Source organism: Homo sapiens, chromosome 17, assembly GCF_000001405.40.
Source record: "Homo sapiens chromosome 17, GRCh38.p14 Primary Assembly".
Classification (NCBI taxonomy): Eukaryota; Metazoa; Chordata; class Mammalia; order Primates; family Hominidae; genus Homo; species Homo sapiens.
The window spans coordinates 42,347,263-42,361,194 of record NC_000017.11 but is presented as its reverse complement, the minus strand read 5'-3'; the positions used below and the strand labels follow the sequence as shown (position 1 = coordinate 42,361,194).

Genomic DNA, 13,932 nt, shown 5'->3' with positions numbered 1-13,932 from the left:
CTTTCGAAATTTGAAACCTGGTCCCACTGTCAGAGGTTCCAATTTGGCACTGGTTTGGTTCCCAGGCATCTTTCTTGCTGTATATATTTTTTAGTGTCAGCCAGGGTGGAGACCTCTGTATTACTTCATGGGGAAGAATTTGGGAGAAGATGTTGTGAGGAGACAGGTTCTAGTCCTAGAGTGATTTATCCTTTCTCGTACAGATTTCCAGGTATTTGAGGGGCCACTCTTCTGTAATTCATGTTTTTCTCTCCTAACCTCACTCCTGTTGCCTGCATCTTCTTGCTGAGCAAAATATTCAAGGTCTTCAACTCCTCACACCCTGGTTGTCCCTCCCTGGATGTGTTTGGTTGTTTTAGTGTTCCATTTCAATTTTGATACACAGAATTAGAATAGCATCCAGATGTGGGTCTGTTACAGCTAGACTACTAGATCCTTCAAAATCCAAGTACTAGTATGTCTATTAAAATACCATAAGATCACATTGGCTAGTTACAATGGTTGGTTTGTGGGTTACTTAAAAATCAACTAAAATTCTTTTTTTTTTTTTGAGATGGAGTTTTGCTCTTGTTGCCTAGGCTGGAATGCAATGACACAATCTTGGCTCACTGCCACCTCTGCCTCCCAGGTTCAAGCAATTCCCCTGCCTTAGCCTCCTGAGTAGCTGGGATTACAGGCATGTGCCACCATGGCCAGCTAATTCTGTATTTTTAGTAGAGATGAGGTTTTTCCATGTTGGTCAGGCTGGTCTCGAACTCCCGACCTCAGGTGATCCACCTGCCTCAGCCTCCCAAAGTGCTGGGATTACAGGCGTGAGCCACTGAGCCTGGCCAAAATTCCCACTTTCTAATACTCCTGTAGTAGCTGGGTACGGTGGGTCACATCTGTAATCCCAGCACTTTTGGAGGCTGAGGCTGGAGGATCGCTTGAGCCTAGGAGTTCGAGACCAGCCTGGGCAAGATGGCCAGACGCCATCTCTAATTTAAAAAAAAGAAAAAACAAGACTCCTATAGTGGTGAAGAACAGACATTCCGAAAACAGACTGTGCGTTATGATTCCAGCTCCATGCCTTTACTACCTGTGTTGTGACTTTGGATAAATCACTTAAAAATCTTTTTTTTTTTTTTTTTTTTTTGAGACGGAGTCTTGCTCTGCCGCCCAGGCTGGAGTGCAGTGGCGCGATCTCGGCTCACTGCAAGCTCTGCCTCCCAGGTTCACACCATTCTCCTGCCTCAGCCTCCCAAGTAGCTGGGACTGCAGGTGCCCGCCACTACACCTGGCTAATTTTTTGTATTTTTAGTAGAGACGGGGTTTCACCGTGTTAGCCAGGATGGTCTCGATCTCCTGTCCTCGTGATCCACCCGCCTCAGCCTCTCAAAGTGTTGGGATTACAGGCGTGAGCCACCGCACCCGGCCAAATCACTTAAAATTCTGTGCCTCAGTTTCTCCTCTGTAAAGTGGGATAAAAATAGTACCTATCTGATAGGGTTGTTACAATTATGAAATGAGCAAATAAGTATGTCAAGTGTTTAAAACAGCGCCTGGCTTCTTGTAAAAAGTGCTATATAAATCATAGCTATAATCATTACTTATTTCGACTGCTCTTTAACCAAGGTTCTTATTTTTCATCTTTTTCTTTTGTTTTGAATATCACTTAGTGTTTTCACCTTTTACTCTTTTTAGGACCTAGAGCCATCCTAGGTGAAATACGTATGGAGATATTTGATCAGGTCACCACCCAGCTCTCCTGACCTCCCTTCTCTCCTTAAATTAACATGCCAAATCACAGCATCACTGACTCCTTCCCTCCCGATATGATAAGAGTGTGCATTGAAATGCATGTATTTTACTTAGCAGGGAAAGCTGATTAGTGATTATCACACTTAACCCCTAGTGAATCTGATGGATTAACCTGCTTTCCAGGACACTAAGGAAATGGGTTTAAGATAAGAAATATCTGGCTGGGTGCGGTGGCTTTACGCCTGTAATCCCAGCACTTTGGGAGGCCGAGGTGGGCAGATCACGAGGTCAGGTGATTGAGATCATCCTGGCTAACACGATGAAACCCCCTCTTTACTAAAAATACAAAAAATTAGCCGGGTGTGGTGGCGGGCGCCTGGAGTCCCAGCTACTCGGGAGGCTGAGGCAAGAGAATGGTGTGAACCCAGGAGGCAGAGCTTGCAGTGAGCTGAGATTGTGCCCACCGCATTCCAGCCTGGGCAACAGAGTGAGACTACATCTCAAAAAAAAAAAAAAAAAAAGTAAGAAATGTCCATGAAAGGGAGACCCTGGGGGAAAGGAACAATAACTGCAGCTCTGAGGATCTGGCACCAGCAGCACCAGCACAGAGGGATGCTGTACAACCATTATTGATTTTAACTTTACAACAGTTCTTCAAAGGAGAGAGAGTTCCCTGTTTTACTGAAGAGAAAGCCCATTTGGTAGTGAAATACCATTCCCAAAGACAAATAGCTAATAAATGTCAGGCAGGGTTTTGCACCCAGGCCCATCCAGCTCCCGTCTCTACTGTCCTTTCCCCCACACCACACTGATACAGAGGAATGTGTCTGGTTGGGGAAGTGGAAGTGTTCCCAAGTGGGGAGGTCATCTGATGCACAAATTTGGTCTGTTTTGTGGGTTTTCTTGTTTTAGTTTTAGTTTTTGTAGAGCTCAGACCTGTTCTTAGGCAGCTTTAACAATCAACTGTGCACTCAGTAATTGACAAATCATGTTTGTTACTTTTAATTTAGAGGGAATTAGGTTTGTTAAGCTCTTGCTCCTTCTTTAGAGATGGGGTCTAGCTCTGTCACCCAGGCTGGAGCGCAGTGGTATGATCACAGCTCACTGCAGTCTCAATCTGCTCAAGTGATCCTCCTGCCTCAGCCTCCATGGGACTACAAGCATGGGCCACCATGCTAGGCTAATTTTAAAAAAATTTTTTTGTAGAGGCAAGGTCTCACGGTGTTGCCCAGGCTGGTCTTGAACTCCTGAGCTCAAGCAATCCCTCTTCCACCTTGGCCTCTCAAAGTGCTAGAATTATAGGCATGAGCCACCATGCCTGGCCTTTACTTCTTTCATATATTCAAATTTTGTCATATTAGTAGGGAACTATAACTCAAGTTTTCTTATAGATTGATGTTCATTTTTACAAGCTTGATCGTCATTGGTTTTTAATTTTAAAGCAAATCCTGTTATATGTAATTGAACATTACAGTAATTATAGTAATTTGTTTCAGATTGGGCACTCAAGTGTTAATATTTTGTCTCTTTAGGAAATCAAAACTAGATTTATATATAGACTTCTTATTGCAAGTATCTAGTCTTAAATCTTACAAAGGTACTATTTGGACTTAAAACTATGAAATTGTGTGCTTACTATATAAGTGTACTTATTTTGAGTTATGTTTTAAACTTGAAATTCCATTCTTAATGTCTAGAGTAATTATGAATGGTTAAATTATGAATGACTCTAATAGTTTAAAGCTACAGTATTTATTTATTTATTTATTTAATTTATTTTTTGAGATGGAGTTTCGCTCTTGTCGCCCAGGCTGGAGTGTAGTGGCACCATCTTGGTTCACTGCAACCTCTGCCTCGCGGGTTCAAGTGATTCTCCTGCCTCAGCCTCCCAAGTGGCTGGGATTACAGGTGTATTTCACCATGCCTGGCTAATTTTTGTATTTTTAGTAGAGACAGGCTTTTGCCATGTTAGCCTGGCTGGTCTCGAACTCCTGACCTCAGGTGACCTACCCTCCTCAGCCTCCCAAGGATTACAAGCATGAGCCACCACACCTGGCCTACAGTATTTTAATGTGGACTCTCTGTCATCCATTATGCTGTTTATCCTGTGGTGAAAATTTTATGAAGATTGAATGTTTTTCTCTAGCGTGAATTGCTTTCTCTTACTTTTCTCATTTTTTTCCTTCCTAATCTACTTGCAGATACTTCAGATTATTTTTAGAACGTGGTATGGTGAGAACAAATAAATTGGGGTTTCCAAATCTTAATAAATTATGTGGCCCTCAGTGGGATTAGCAGGGTTGTATTGAAAACACCAATAGAAACAAAATAGTTCTTTTATGCGCTTTAAATAAAAATTTCTTTTCAGGCCAGGCGCAGTGGCTCACACCTGTAATCCCAGCACCCTGGGAGGCTGAGGCAGGCAGATCACCTCAGGTCAGGAGTTTAAGACAAGCCTGGCCAACATGGTGAAGCGCCGTCTCTACTAAAAATACAAAAATTAGCCGGGTATGATGGCGCATGCCTGTAATCCCAGCTACTCCAGAGGCTGAGGCATGAGAATCACTTGAACTCAGGAGATGGAGGTTGCAGTGAGCTGAGATGGTGCCACTGCACTCTAGCCTGGGCAACAGAGTGAGATTCTGTCTCAAACAACAACAACAACAATAACAAAACATCTCTTTTCAGGCCAGGTACTGTGGCTCACGCCTGTAATCCCAGCACTTTGGGAGGCCAAAACAGGAGGGTCGCTTGAGACCAGGAGTTTGAGACCAGCTTGGGCAGCTGGTCTCTATTTGAACAAACAAACAAACAAACACAATACTCTTTTCATAGAAAAATGTTTACTACACAATAAACTTTAAAAGAATATGCAGCTGTATTAATGCTATGACTCCAATGTAAAAAAAAAAAAATATATATATATATATACACACACACAAACACATTCTGAAATAGATTTAAAGGAATTACATCAACATGTCAATTTTTATTTTTTCGGAGACAGGGTCTCGCTGTGTCACCCAAGCTGGAGTACAGTGGTGCAATCACAGCTCACTGCAGCCTTGACTTCCTGGCCTCAAGTGATCCTCCCCCCTCAGCCTCCCAAAGTGCTGGGGTCACAGACCACCACACCTGGCAACATGTCAGTTTTTGTTCTGCATAGTGGGATGGTGGGATATGGATGTTTTTATCTTTTATTTTCTTTTTTATATTTTTCTAAATTTTCCACATTGAACATTATTTTATAATCTTTCAAACATATCTCTTAAAAGGACTGGTTCCTATAGAATTCAGTGCAAGAAATCTTCTGTGTTTCTTTATACTTTGGTTGCCTTGATCACTGGGCCTTTCCTGACAGCAAAGAAGAGGTTAGTGTAGGCAGCAGATAAAACACAGGTATGCTCTATTTAAAATGCATGTATTTATAATAAAAGTATAGGTGGTACCCAAAGGAAAATGTCATGACACATTGCAAAGTGGAACAGAAGTTATCTTTAGATCACTTTCTGTTCTGGATTATTGTATGAGCCTGATTTTCGTCTCTCTTTCCGCCTTCCCTCACCCTCGTTGTAAATCCACTAGTGCATGGATGTGAAGTACAAGTCTTAACTTTAAAAAGTTTTATGAAGCTGTGTAGTAAATCCCTTTTGTAAGTGGTCTTGACTGCGTTTCTCAATATATCTTTTGGTTTCATTAGATTCAAGTATATAAATGAGAACTGTAACTTTGGACAGACTTTTTCAGTCATCTTTACGGTAATAAGTTCCCAATTAGACAATAGTTATTTGTTTTATGACTTGCTGTTGGTAGGTTATCCCCAAGGGACTGAGAAATTCCTGTTTTGAAAAGTCCAAAAAGTCTTTGATGACTTGCTGTTTCATTTTTTTCTTTTCTCTTCAGTTATAGAAAACAGGATTACACCCACCTTGCCTTTGTACAGTGCATCTACTATCTGCTGACTTAACCTGAGTAAATGCTTTGAATTGAGCCCCATATAATGTCCTAAGGCAGCCTATATGGAGTAATGAATTGTCTTCTCTCTTATGCACCCAGAGTGGTAGTTGGCACTCAAGTTGTTCCTCAGATAACTTTGTGTGTTCTGGGGCTCAATGAAGTAGTTATTAAGTCACAGGCTTGGGGAGAACATTCATCCTATGGCATTGAATGAAGTGTTGCCCAATTCTAGAATGTCTAATAAAATTTTTTTAAAAACCCACAGGCTTAGAATTATTCCGTAGATATGAAGTAATGTAGTTAGAACTTAGTGGAGTTCTTTAGATTAACTTGTAATTTGAAAAACCAAAATTGAAATTGTGAAATAACATGGGCTCTTTGAGGTCTTTTCCAGTAAAACAGTTACAGTAAAGCTGCTTGGCAGTGATTTTCCTAGACACTTTGGCTAGTCATCTCCTGTGACTGCTGTTAATTAAATATGGTTTGTAGCTAAGCAGCCTGTAAGGAGAAGACTATGGAAGTATTTGCATATTCTCTCCTTGAAAATACTACCTGGTCTTTGGCTTTAAGTTATACTTTTATTTTCCCCTGTAGAATAACTATTAAAGTATTACCTATGGTGATTAGACTAAGAAGTAAAACATGAAATCAGTCATTGTTGGTGCCCTGGTGCCTTCTTTTTTTTTTTTTTGAGACAGAGTCTCACTCTGTTGCCCAGGCTGGAGTGCAATGGCACGATCTTGGCTCACTGCAACCTCTGCCTCCCAGGTTCAAGCGATTCTCCTGCCTCAGCCTCCCAAGTAGCTGAGACTACAGGCGCCCACCACCACGCCTGGCTAATTTTTGAATTTTTAGTAGAGACAGGGTTTCACTATATTGGCTAGGCTGGTCTCAAACTCCTGACCTTGTGATCCGCCCACCTCAGCCTCCCAAAGTGCTGGGATTATAGGTGTTAGCCACTGTGCCCAGCCTGGTGCTTTAATTTTATGGAAAAAACTACTAGCTGGTTTCTGTTTTAAGAAATAACACAGGCCGGGTGCCATGACTTGCGCTTGTACTCCCAGCAGTTTGGGAGGCCGAGGCGGGCGGATCACGAGGTCAGGAGTTTGAGACCAGCCTGGCCAACATAGTGAAACCCCGTCTCTACTAAAAATACAAAAATTAGCCGGGCGTGGTGGGGCATGCCTGTAGTCCCAGCTACTCGGGAGGCTGAGGCAGGAGAATCGCTTGAACCTGGGAGGTGGAGGCTGCAGTGAGCCAAGATCGCCCCACTGCACACCAGCCCGGGTGACAGTATTTCATCTCAAAAAAAAAAAAAAAAAAAAGAACACAATTATTGTACTACTTACTAGCCCTCCTCTGTCCCCAGCTAAAAATAAGAACAGCAACAACCAAAAAATCCTTAGTTATGTACTGGAAATGAATTAGATAATTTTCAATAACTTACACGTTTTTAGGATATGTTAGTTTGAAAATGCAAATATTCATGCATGACCCCAGTGTTAATCTATGATGGAGCAGGTATAGTGGGATGCTGTTTCATGATTTAATTTGGACCTTCAGGGAGTAGACTGTGATGCCTCTGCATTTGTATCCAAGACAAATAATTAAATAGTCTATTTTTGGCTGGGCATGATGCCTCATGCCTGCAGTCCCAGCACTTTGGGAGGCTGAGGTGGGAGGATCGCTTGAGGCCAGGAGTTCAAGATCAGTCTGGGCAACAAAATGAGACCTTGTCTCTACAAAAACTACAAAAAATTAGCTGAACATTGTGGCTTGTGCCCCTAGTCCCAGCTACTCAGGTCCCTGAGTTAGGAGGATTGCTTGAGCCCAGGAGTTGGAGGTTACAGTGATCTATATTTGCCACTGCACTCCAGCCTGGGTGACAGAGAGAGACCCTGTCTCAAAAAATAAAGTCTGTTTTTAAAATTAATTTTAAACACTGGAGTTTATTACAAAAAGCAGTTGGTTCTTTTTTTAAATCATTTTTTTTTAGGAGAACCACCGCTTTTTGGCTACATTGTCTAGAGTAGCAGTGTTCAATAAAAATAAGATCCAAGTCACATATGTAATGTTAAGTTTTCTTTTAGTTTCTTTTTCTTTTCTTTTCTTTTCTCTTCTTTCTTTCTTTCTTTCTTTTTTTTTTTTTTGATATGCAGTCTCACTCTGTTGCCCAGGCTGGAGTGCAGTGGCACGATCTCGGCCCACTGCAACCTCCGCCTCCCGGGTTCAAGCAATTCTCCTGCCTCAGCCTCCCGAGTAGCTGGGACTACAGGCATGTGCCACCATACCCAGCTAATTTTTGTATTTTTAGTAGAGATGGAGCTTTGCCATGTTGGCCAGTCTGGTCTCAAACTCCTGACCTCGGGTGATCCACATGCTTTGGCCTCCCTAAGTGCTGGGATTACAGGCATGAGCCACCATGCCCTACCAATGTTAAGTTTTCTAGTAGCCATATTAAAAGAAGTAAAAAGAAATGGGTGAAGTTAATTTTAATAATATATTTTATTTAACCCAATATATCTAAAATATTATCATTTCAACATGAACAAGATACTTTACATTCTTTTGTTTTTCACTAAGTCCTCAAAATCCAGTGTGTATTTTATATTGACAGCATAGTTCAGTTTGAAGCAGCCACATTTCAAGTGCTCAGTAGCCACATGTGGCTAGTGACTCCATACTGGACTGTGTAGGTTTAGAGTTTCAGTAAATTTGTATGCAATAGAATCTACATAAATTGGCATATTATGCAGATTTCTTTGTATGCACATCAGTTCTTGCATAGCATAAGTCAGGTCATGATGCTTTTAGTCTATGAGGCAGATTTTTTTTTTTTTTTTTTTGAGACAGAGTCTCACTTGGTCACCCAGGCTGGAGTGTAGATGCACAATCTTGGCTCACTGCAACCTCCATGTGAGGCAGATTTTAACTTGGCCCTAATGCAAATATTGTAAGAGAGATCTAATGGCCTTTGATTTCTTACAGAGGGCAATCAATACATGCCATGGTTACAATGCTTCAGCATATAGTATGCACGTCAGCCACTGCTTTTACTCTGGCTAGTGCTTAGTGTACCTGTACCACTGCCCAGGCAGCATTTGTCCTGTGGCAGGTGAATCTTAGGGTGGAAGGTGGCAAGTAACATTGCTTTTTTTTGAGAGGGAGTCTTGCTGTATTGCCCAGGCTGGAGTGCAGTGGTGCGATCTCGGCTCACTACAACCTCCACCTCCCGGGTTCAAGTGATTCTCCTGCCTCAGCCTCCTGAGTAGCTGGGATTACAGACGGCCACCACCATGCTCGGCTAATTTTTGTATTTTTAGTAGAGACGGGGTTTCACTATGTTGGCCAGGCTGGTCTCGAACTCCTGACCTCGTGATCCACCCGCCTCGGCCTCCCAAAGTTCTGGGATTACAGGTGTGAGCCACCGTGCCCAGCCTACATTTTTAAATTAATTAATTATAAGCAGGATCTCACTGTGTTGGCCAGACTGGTCTTGAACTGATAAGAGTTCAAGACCAGCCTAGGCAACATGGTAAAACCCTGTCTACTAAAAAATACAAAAAAAAAAATTAGCTGGGCATGGTGGTGCGTGCCTATAATCCCAGCTACTTGGGAGGCTGAGGCAGGAAAATCGCTTGAACCCGGGAGACTGAAGTTGCAGTGAGGTGAGATTGCACCACTGCACTCCAGCCTAGGCGATTCCATCTCAAAAACAATAACAACAAAATAACATTGTTGGAATATTTAGTTAATTTATAGAAGCGTATTGGCCTAATTGGGGCAAATACCTTATTCTGACATTCTCTCTATTTGCTTTACTGAGCTTTTTCACCAGTGGAATTTAAGCCCTTGATACATGAGGAGGGAAAATACCTTGGAGCTGTGCTGCACATGTAAAGTACACAGGAGATTTAGAAAACTTCGTAGCAAAAAAAAGAGTGTAAAGTATCTCATTAATAGTTTTTGTGGGCTGGACACGGTGGCTCAAGCCTATACTCTTGGCACATTGGGAGGCTGAGATGCATGAGTCTAGGAGTTTGAGACCAGCCTGGGCAACACAGTAGGACCCCGTCTCTACAAAAATAATCAGCCAGATGTGGTGCGCATCTGTAGTCCCAGTTACTTGAGAGGCTGAGGTGGGAGGATCGTTTGAGCTGGGAAGTTGAGGCTACAGTGAGCTGTGATTGAACCACTGCACTCCAGCCTGGGTGACAGAGTGCCTGTCTCCAAAAAATAAATAAATAAATAATAATATGTTTTGTATGTTCATATGTTGCAATAACATTTTGGATATATTAAATGAAATAAAATACATTAAAATTAATTTCACCTGTTTCTTTTCTTTTCTTTTTTTTTTTTTTTTTTGAGATGGAGTCTCGCTATGTCATCAGGCTGGAGTGCAGTGGCACGATCTCGGCTCACTGCAACCTCCTCCTCCTGGGTTCAAGCGATTCTTCTGCCTCAGCCTCCCTAGTAGCTGGGATTAAAGGCATGTGCCACCACACCCAGCTAATTTTTGTATTTTTAGTAGAGACGGGGTTTCACCATATTGGCCAGGATGGTCTCGATCTCCTGACCTCATGATCCGCCTGCCTTGGCCTCCCAAAGTTCTGGGATTACAGGCGTGAGCCACTGCACCCAGCCTCTTTTAACTTTTTAAGTATGGCTACCAGAAAATTTAAAATGCATGTGTGGCCTGTATTCTATTTCTGTTGGATGCTGCTGCCTTAGATTATTAATTATTCAATGTAAAGACTGCTGGGAGGTACTACCTGCACTTCCCTGAATATATGCTTGAGAGCTCCACCAGCCGTCTTCACAGTAGCAAGAGGGGTATTCTGAGTCTGTCCCCCAAAGAGGGAGGGAGAAGTGCAGCCCTCTCAGGTTCTGTCAGAAAACCTGATCCCAGGCCAGGCGTGGTAGCTTACGCCTGTAATCCCAGCACTTTGGGAGGTTGAGGCAGGAGGATTGCTTAAGCCCAGGAGTTCGAGACCAGCCTGGGCAACACAGTGAAGACCCTATCTCTACAAAAATTTTTTTAAAAAAATTAGCCAGGTGCAGCAATGCTGCCTGTACTCCCAGCTGCTTGGGAGGCTGAGGTAGGAGGATTGCCTGAGCCCAGGAGTTAGAGGTTGCAGGAGTTAGAGGTTCCACGATCGCACCTTTCATTCCGTTACATTTGCTGCCTTGAGAACAGAAGACCTGCTGGTTTTGTTGCCAGTTTGCTCAGTCATTTTTATGAAAAAGCCAGTGCTAACTAGGTGCTTCTTCGTGCCTTCTCTGAGAATCAAGAACTCTAGTATGTTTGCGTGTGTTCAGTCTCTCATTAAATGTTCTCACTATCCCAGAGAACCATCTCATTGGACCTTGGTCTGTACATACCTTCATCTTTGGCTCTGACTTGTAATTATTTTTAGAACTTCTCTTTTTTTTTTTTTGGAGACAGAGTTTTGCTCTAGTTGCCAGACTGGAATGCAGTGGCACGATCTCAGCTCACCTCAACCTCTGCCTTCCAGGTTCAAGCAATTCTCCTGCCTCAACCTCTTGAGTAGCTGTAATTACAGGCATGTGCCACCACGCCTGGCTAATTTTGTGTTTTTAGTAGAGACAGGGTTTCTCCAAGTTGGTCAGGCTGGTCTCAAACTCCCGACCTCAGGTGATCTGCCCGCCTTGGCCTCCCAAAGTGCTGGGATTACAGGCGTAAGCCACTGCGCCTGGCCTAATTTTAGAACTTGTTAAAACAACTTGGCCTCTATTGATATTTCCATGACCCATGCTATTCAGAAAGAGGATTACAGGTAATTAGCTGGCTGGGTTTCTCATACCAGAGCATTTCACTGGGATGTTCCTGAACCTGGGACAACTTTTATGCCTGGCATTTTTCTTTCCTTCTCTGTTGTCCCAGACTAAGCAATTTTTAAAATAGTTATTATTTGTTGAGTAGGAGAATCTCAGGCAGATCTTCCTGGATCCTCATTTATACTTTTAAACCTGTAGTCTTGGAATTAGTGCTCTGTCCCCCAACCCCAAACATCCAATTTCTACATTTTGGCTACAGTACAGGTTTACTGTGTATAACTAAAAGGGCTGTGGAGGAGAAAGAAAGGAACCGACATTTGTTGGGCATCTGTTATGTGCCATGCACTGAGCTGGATGCTGTAGGAATATCTCAATACCTCTGAGGAGTGGGAATTATTATCTCTATTTTATAGACAAGGGAATAGAAATCTGGGAGTTAAGTAATTTTTTAATTTCACACACTTCTGGTAGATAATGGATTCTAGAACCTGGCATAATAGCCACTTGTCATCCCAGTGTAAAAGAGATGTGTGGCCAGATGGGGTGGCTCACATATGTAATCCCAGCACTTTGGGAAGCCGAGGCAGGAGGATGACTTGAGCCCAGGAGTTCAAGACCAGCCTGGGCATGTTTTGTTTGTCTCACGAAACATTTTTTAAAAAATGAGTGTGGCATGGTGTTGTGTGCCTATAGTCCCAGCTCCTCGGGAGGCTGAGGTGGGAGGATCTCTTGAGCCCATGATCATGCCATTGCACTCTAGCCTGGGCCACAGAGCAAGACTCTGTCTTCAAAAAATAATAAAAAGGAGCTGTGATTATCCCAAGGTGGGGATTGTGAATGTGTTTGTATTGTTCTAAACTGGGAGAAACAGGCTGGGTGTGTTGGCTTATGCCTGTAATCTCAGCACTTTGGGAGGCCAAGGTGGGAGGATCACTTGAGTCCAGGAGTTCAAGGCCACCCTGGGCAACAGGCAAAAAATAGAGACCCCATCTCTATTTTTTAAAAATAAAATAAACTGGGAGAAAGAAGCAGGGTCCTCCCCAGAGCATCTTTATCCCTAGTCACAGACCTGACACCTGTGTTGGGCAATGGCTACTTCTAGATTGTTTACCCCTACTGGGACTTGTGGTGAACATATGCACACTTTGGTTTACAGTTGGGACCCCTGATTTTAGCAGGATGGCCCAATGGAATCAGCTACAGCAGCTTGACACACGGTACCTGGAGCAGCTCCATCAGCTCTACAGTGACAGCTTCCCAATGGAGCTGCGGCAGTTTCTGGCCCCTTGGATTGAGAGTCAAGATTGGTAAGTCCTTCTTAAGTGACTCTCCAAATTGTTAGGTTTCAGTTTGAGTCAAGAGACATGAACTCTTAATGTCATGCCTTGCTGTTCCATTAAAAAATGTATGGGTACAGGTGATGGGGAAAATGAGATCAGGAGATAAAGGGGCACCCTTTGGTCTTGTAAAGCCTTTTTTATCTTAGAAGGGCATGTGGGCAACTGTCTTTGACACATTGAAACCGCCTGTATGGTGGTGGATGTCTTGAAGGTTGATTTGGACCTCATTTACTTGGGCAGATCCTCTATATATTCTGATAATCCAGTGATGTGGTAGACATATTTTTTCTCTGAATGTGAATTCTGTCATAGCTAGAACTTTGGGTTGATACTTGTAATTCCCCTTTAGTTAAAGGAAGGAGCCACAGGGGTGTATTAGTCTGTTCTCAATTTGCTATAAAGAAATACCTGAGACTGGGTAATTTATAAGAAAAGAGGTTTAATCGGCTCATAGTTCTGCAGGCTATATAGGAAGCATAGCAGCATCTGCTGCTGGGGAGGCCTCAGCAAGCTTCCAATCATGGCGGAAGGCAGAGAGGGAGCAGGCAGGTCACATGGCCACAGCAAGAGCAAGAGAGCAAGGGGGAGGTGCCACACACTTTTAAACTATCAGATCTCACAAGAACTCACTGTCTCGAGGACAGTATCAACAGGGATGGTATTAAACCATTCATGAGAAACCCACCCCCATGATCCAGTCACCTTCCACCAGGCCCCACCTCAAACAGTGGGGGTTACATTTCAGTATGAGATTTGGGCAGGGATGTAGATCCAAACTAGATCACAGGATAAGGGAAGTAGATTCCATTCATAGAGCAGATAATGGCACAGATGTCCAGCAACTATTTTCTTCACTTTAATATGCTCAGGCTCACTACTGATTTTGGTTTAATTCAGGCCAGTGTTAATATGACCTGGTTTTTCCAGAATGCATACTCTGATTTGGTGAAGGGCCAGGAGGTGATTCACAGATGTTGGAGATAGGCCATCCCAGCCTGGGATTACTTATTTGTACTAATAAATCTGACCAGAGTTAATTGAGGGTTTAAAGCAAAACAGCATATCTGTCTACTTTGCTCAAATATTTTACAAA

At 42.9% G+C, this 13,932-nt stretch overlaps 1 protein-coding gene across 23 annotated transcripts in view; it reads left to right on the top strand.

Annotated features, from left to right (window-relative positions):
• STAT3 (signal transducer and activator of transcription 3) overlaps positions 1-13,932 on the top strand; it is a 75,119-nt gene that overhangs the window by 27,248 nt on the left and 33,939 nt on the right. For 11 of the 23 annotated variants that reach the window (NM_001384985.1, NM_001384987.1, NM_001384991.1 and 8 more), the window contains exon 2: positions 12,656-12,806. In NM_001384985.1, the coding sequence (NP_001371914.1) occupies positions 12,679-12,806 (128 nt within the window). In that variant the 5' untranslated portion in view covers positions 12,656-12,678. The remainder of the gene's footprint in view (positions 1-12,655; positions 12,807-13,932) is intronic. The other 12 variants (NM_001384989.1, NM_001384992.1, NM_001384984.1 and 9 more) reach the window with 2 other exon arrangements.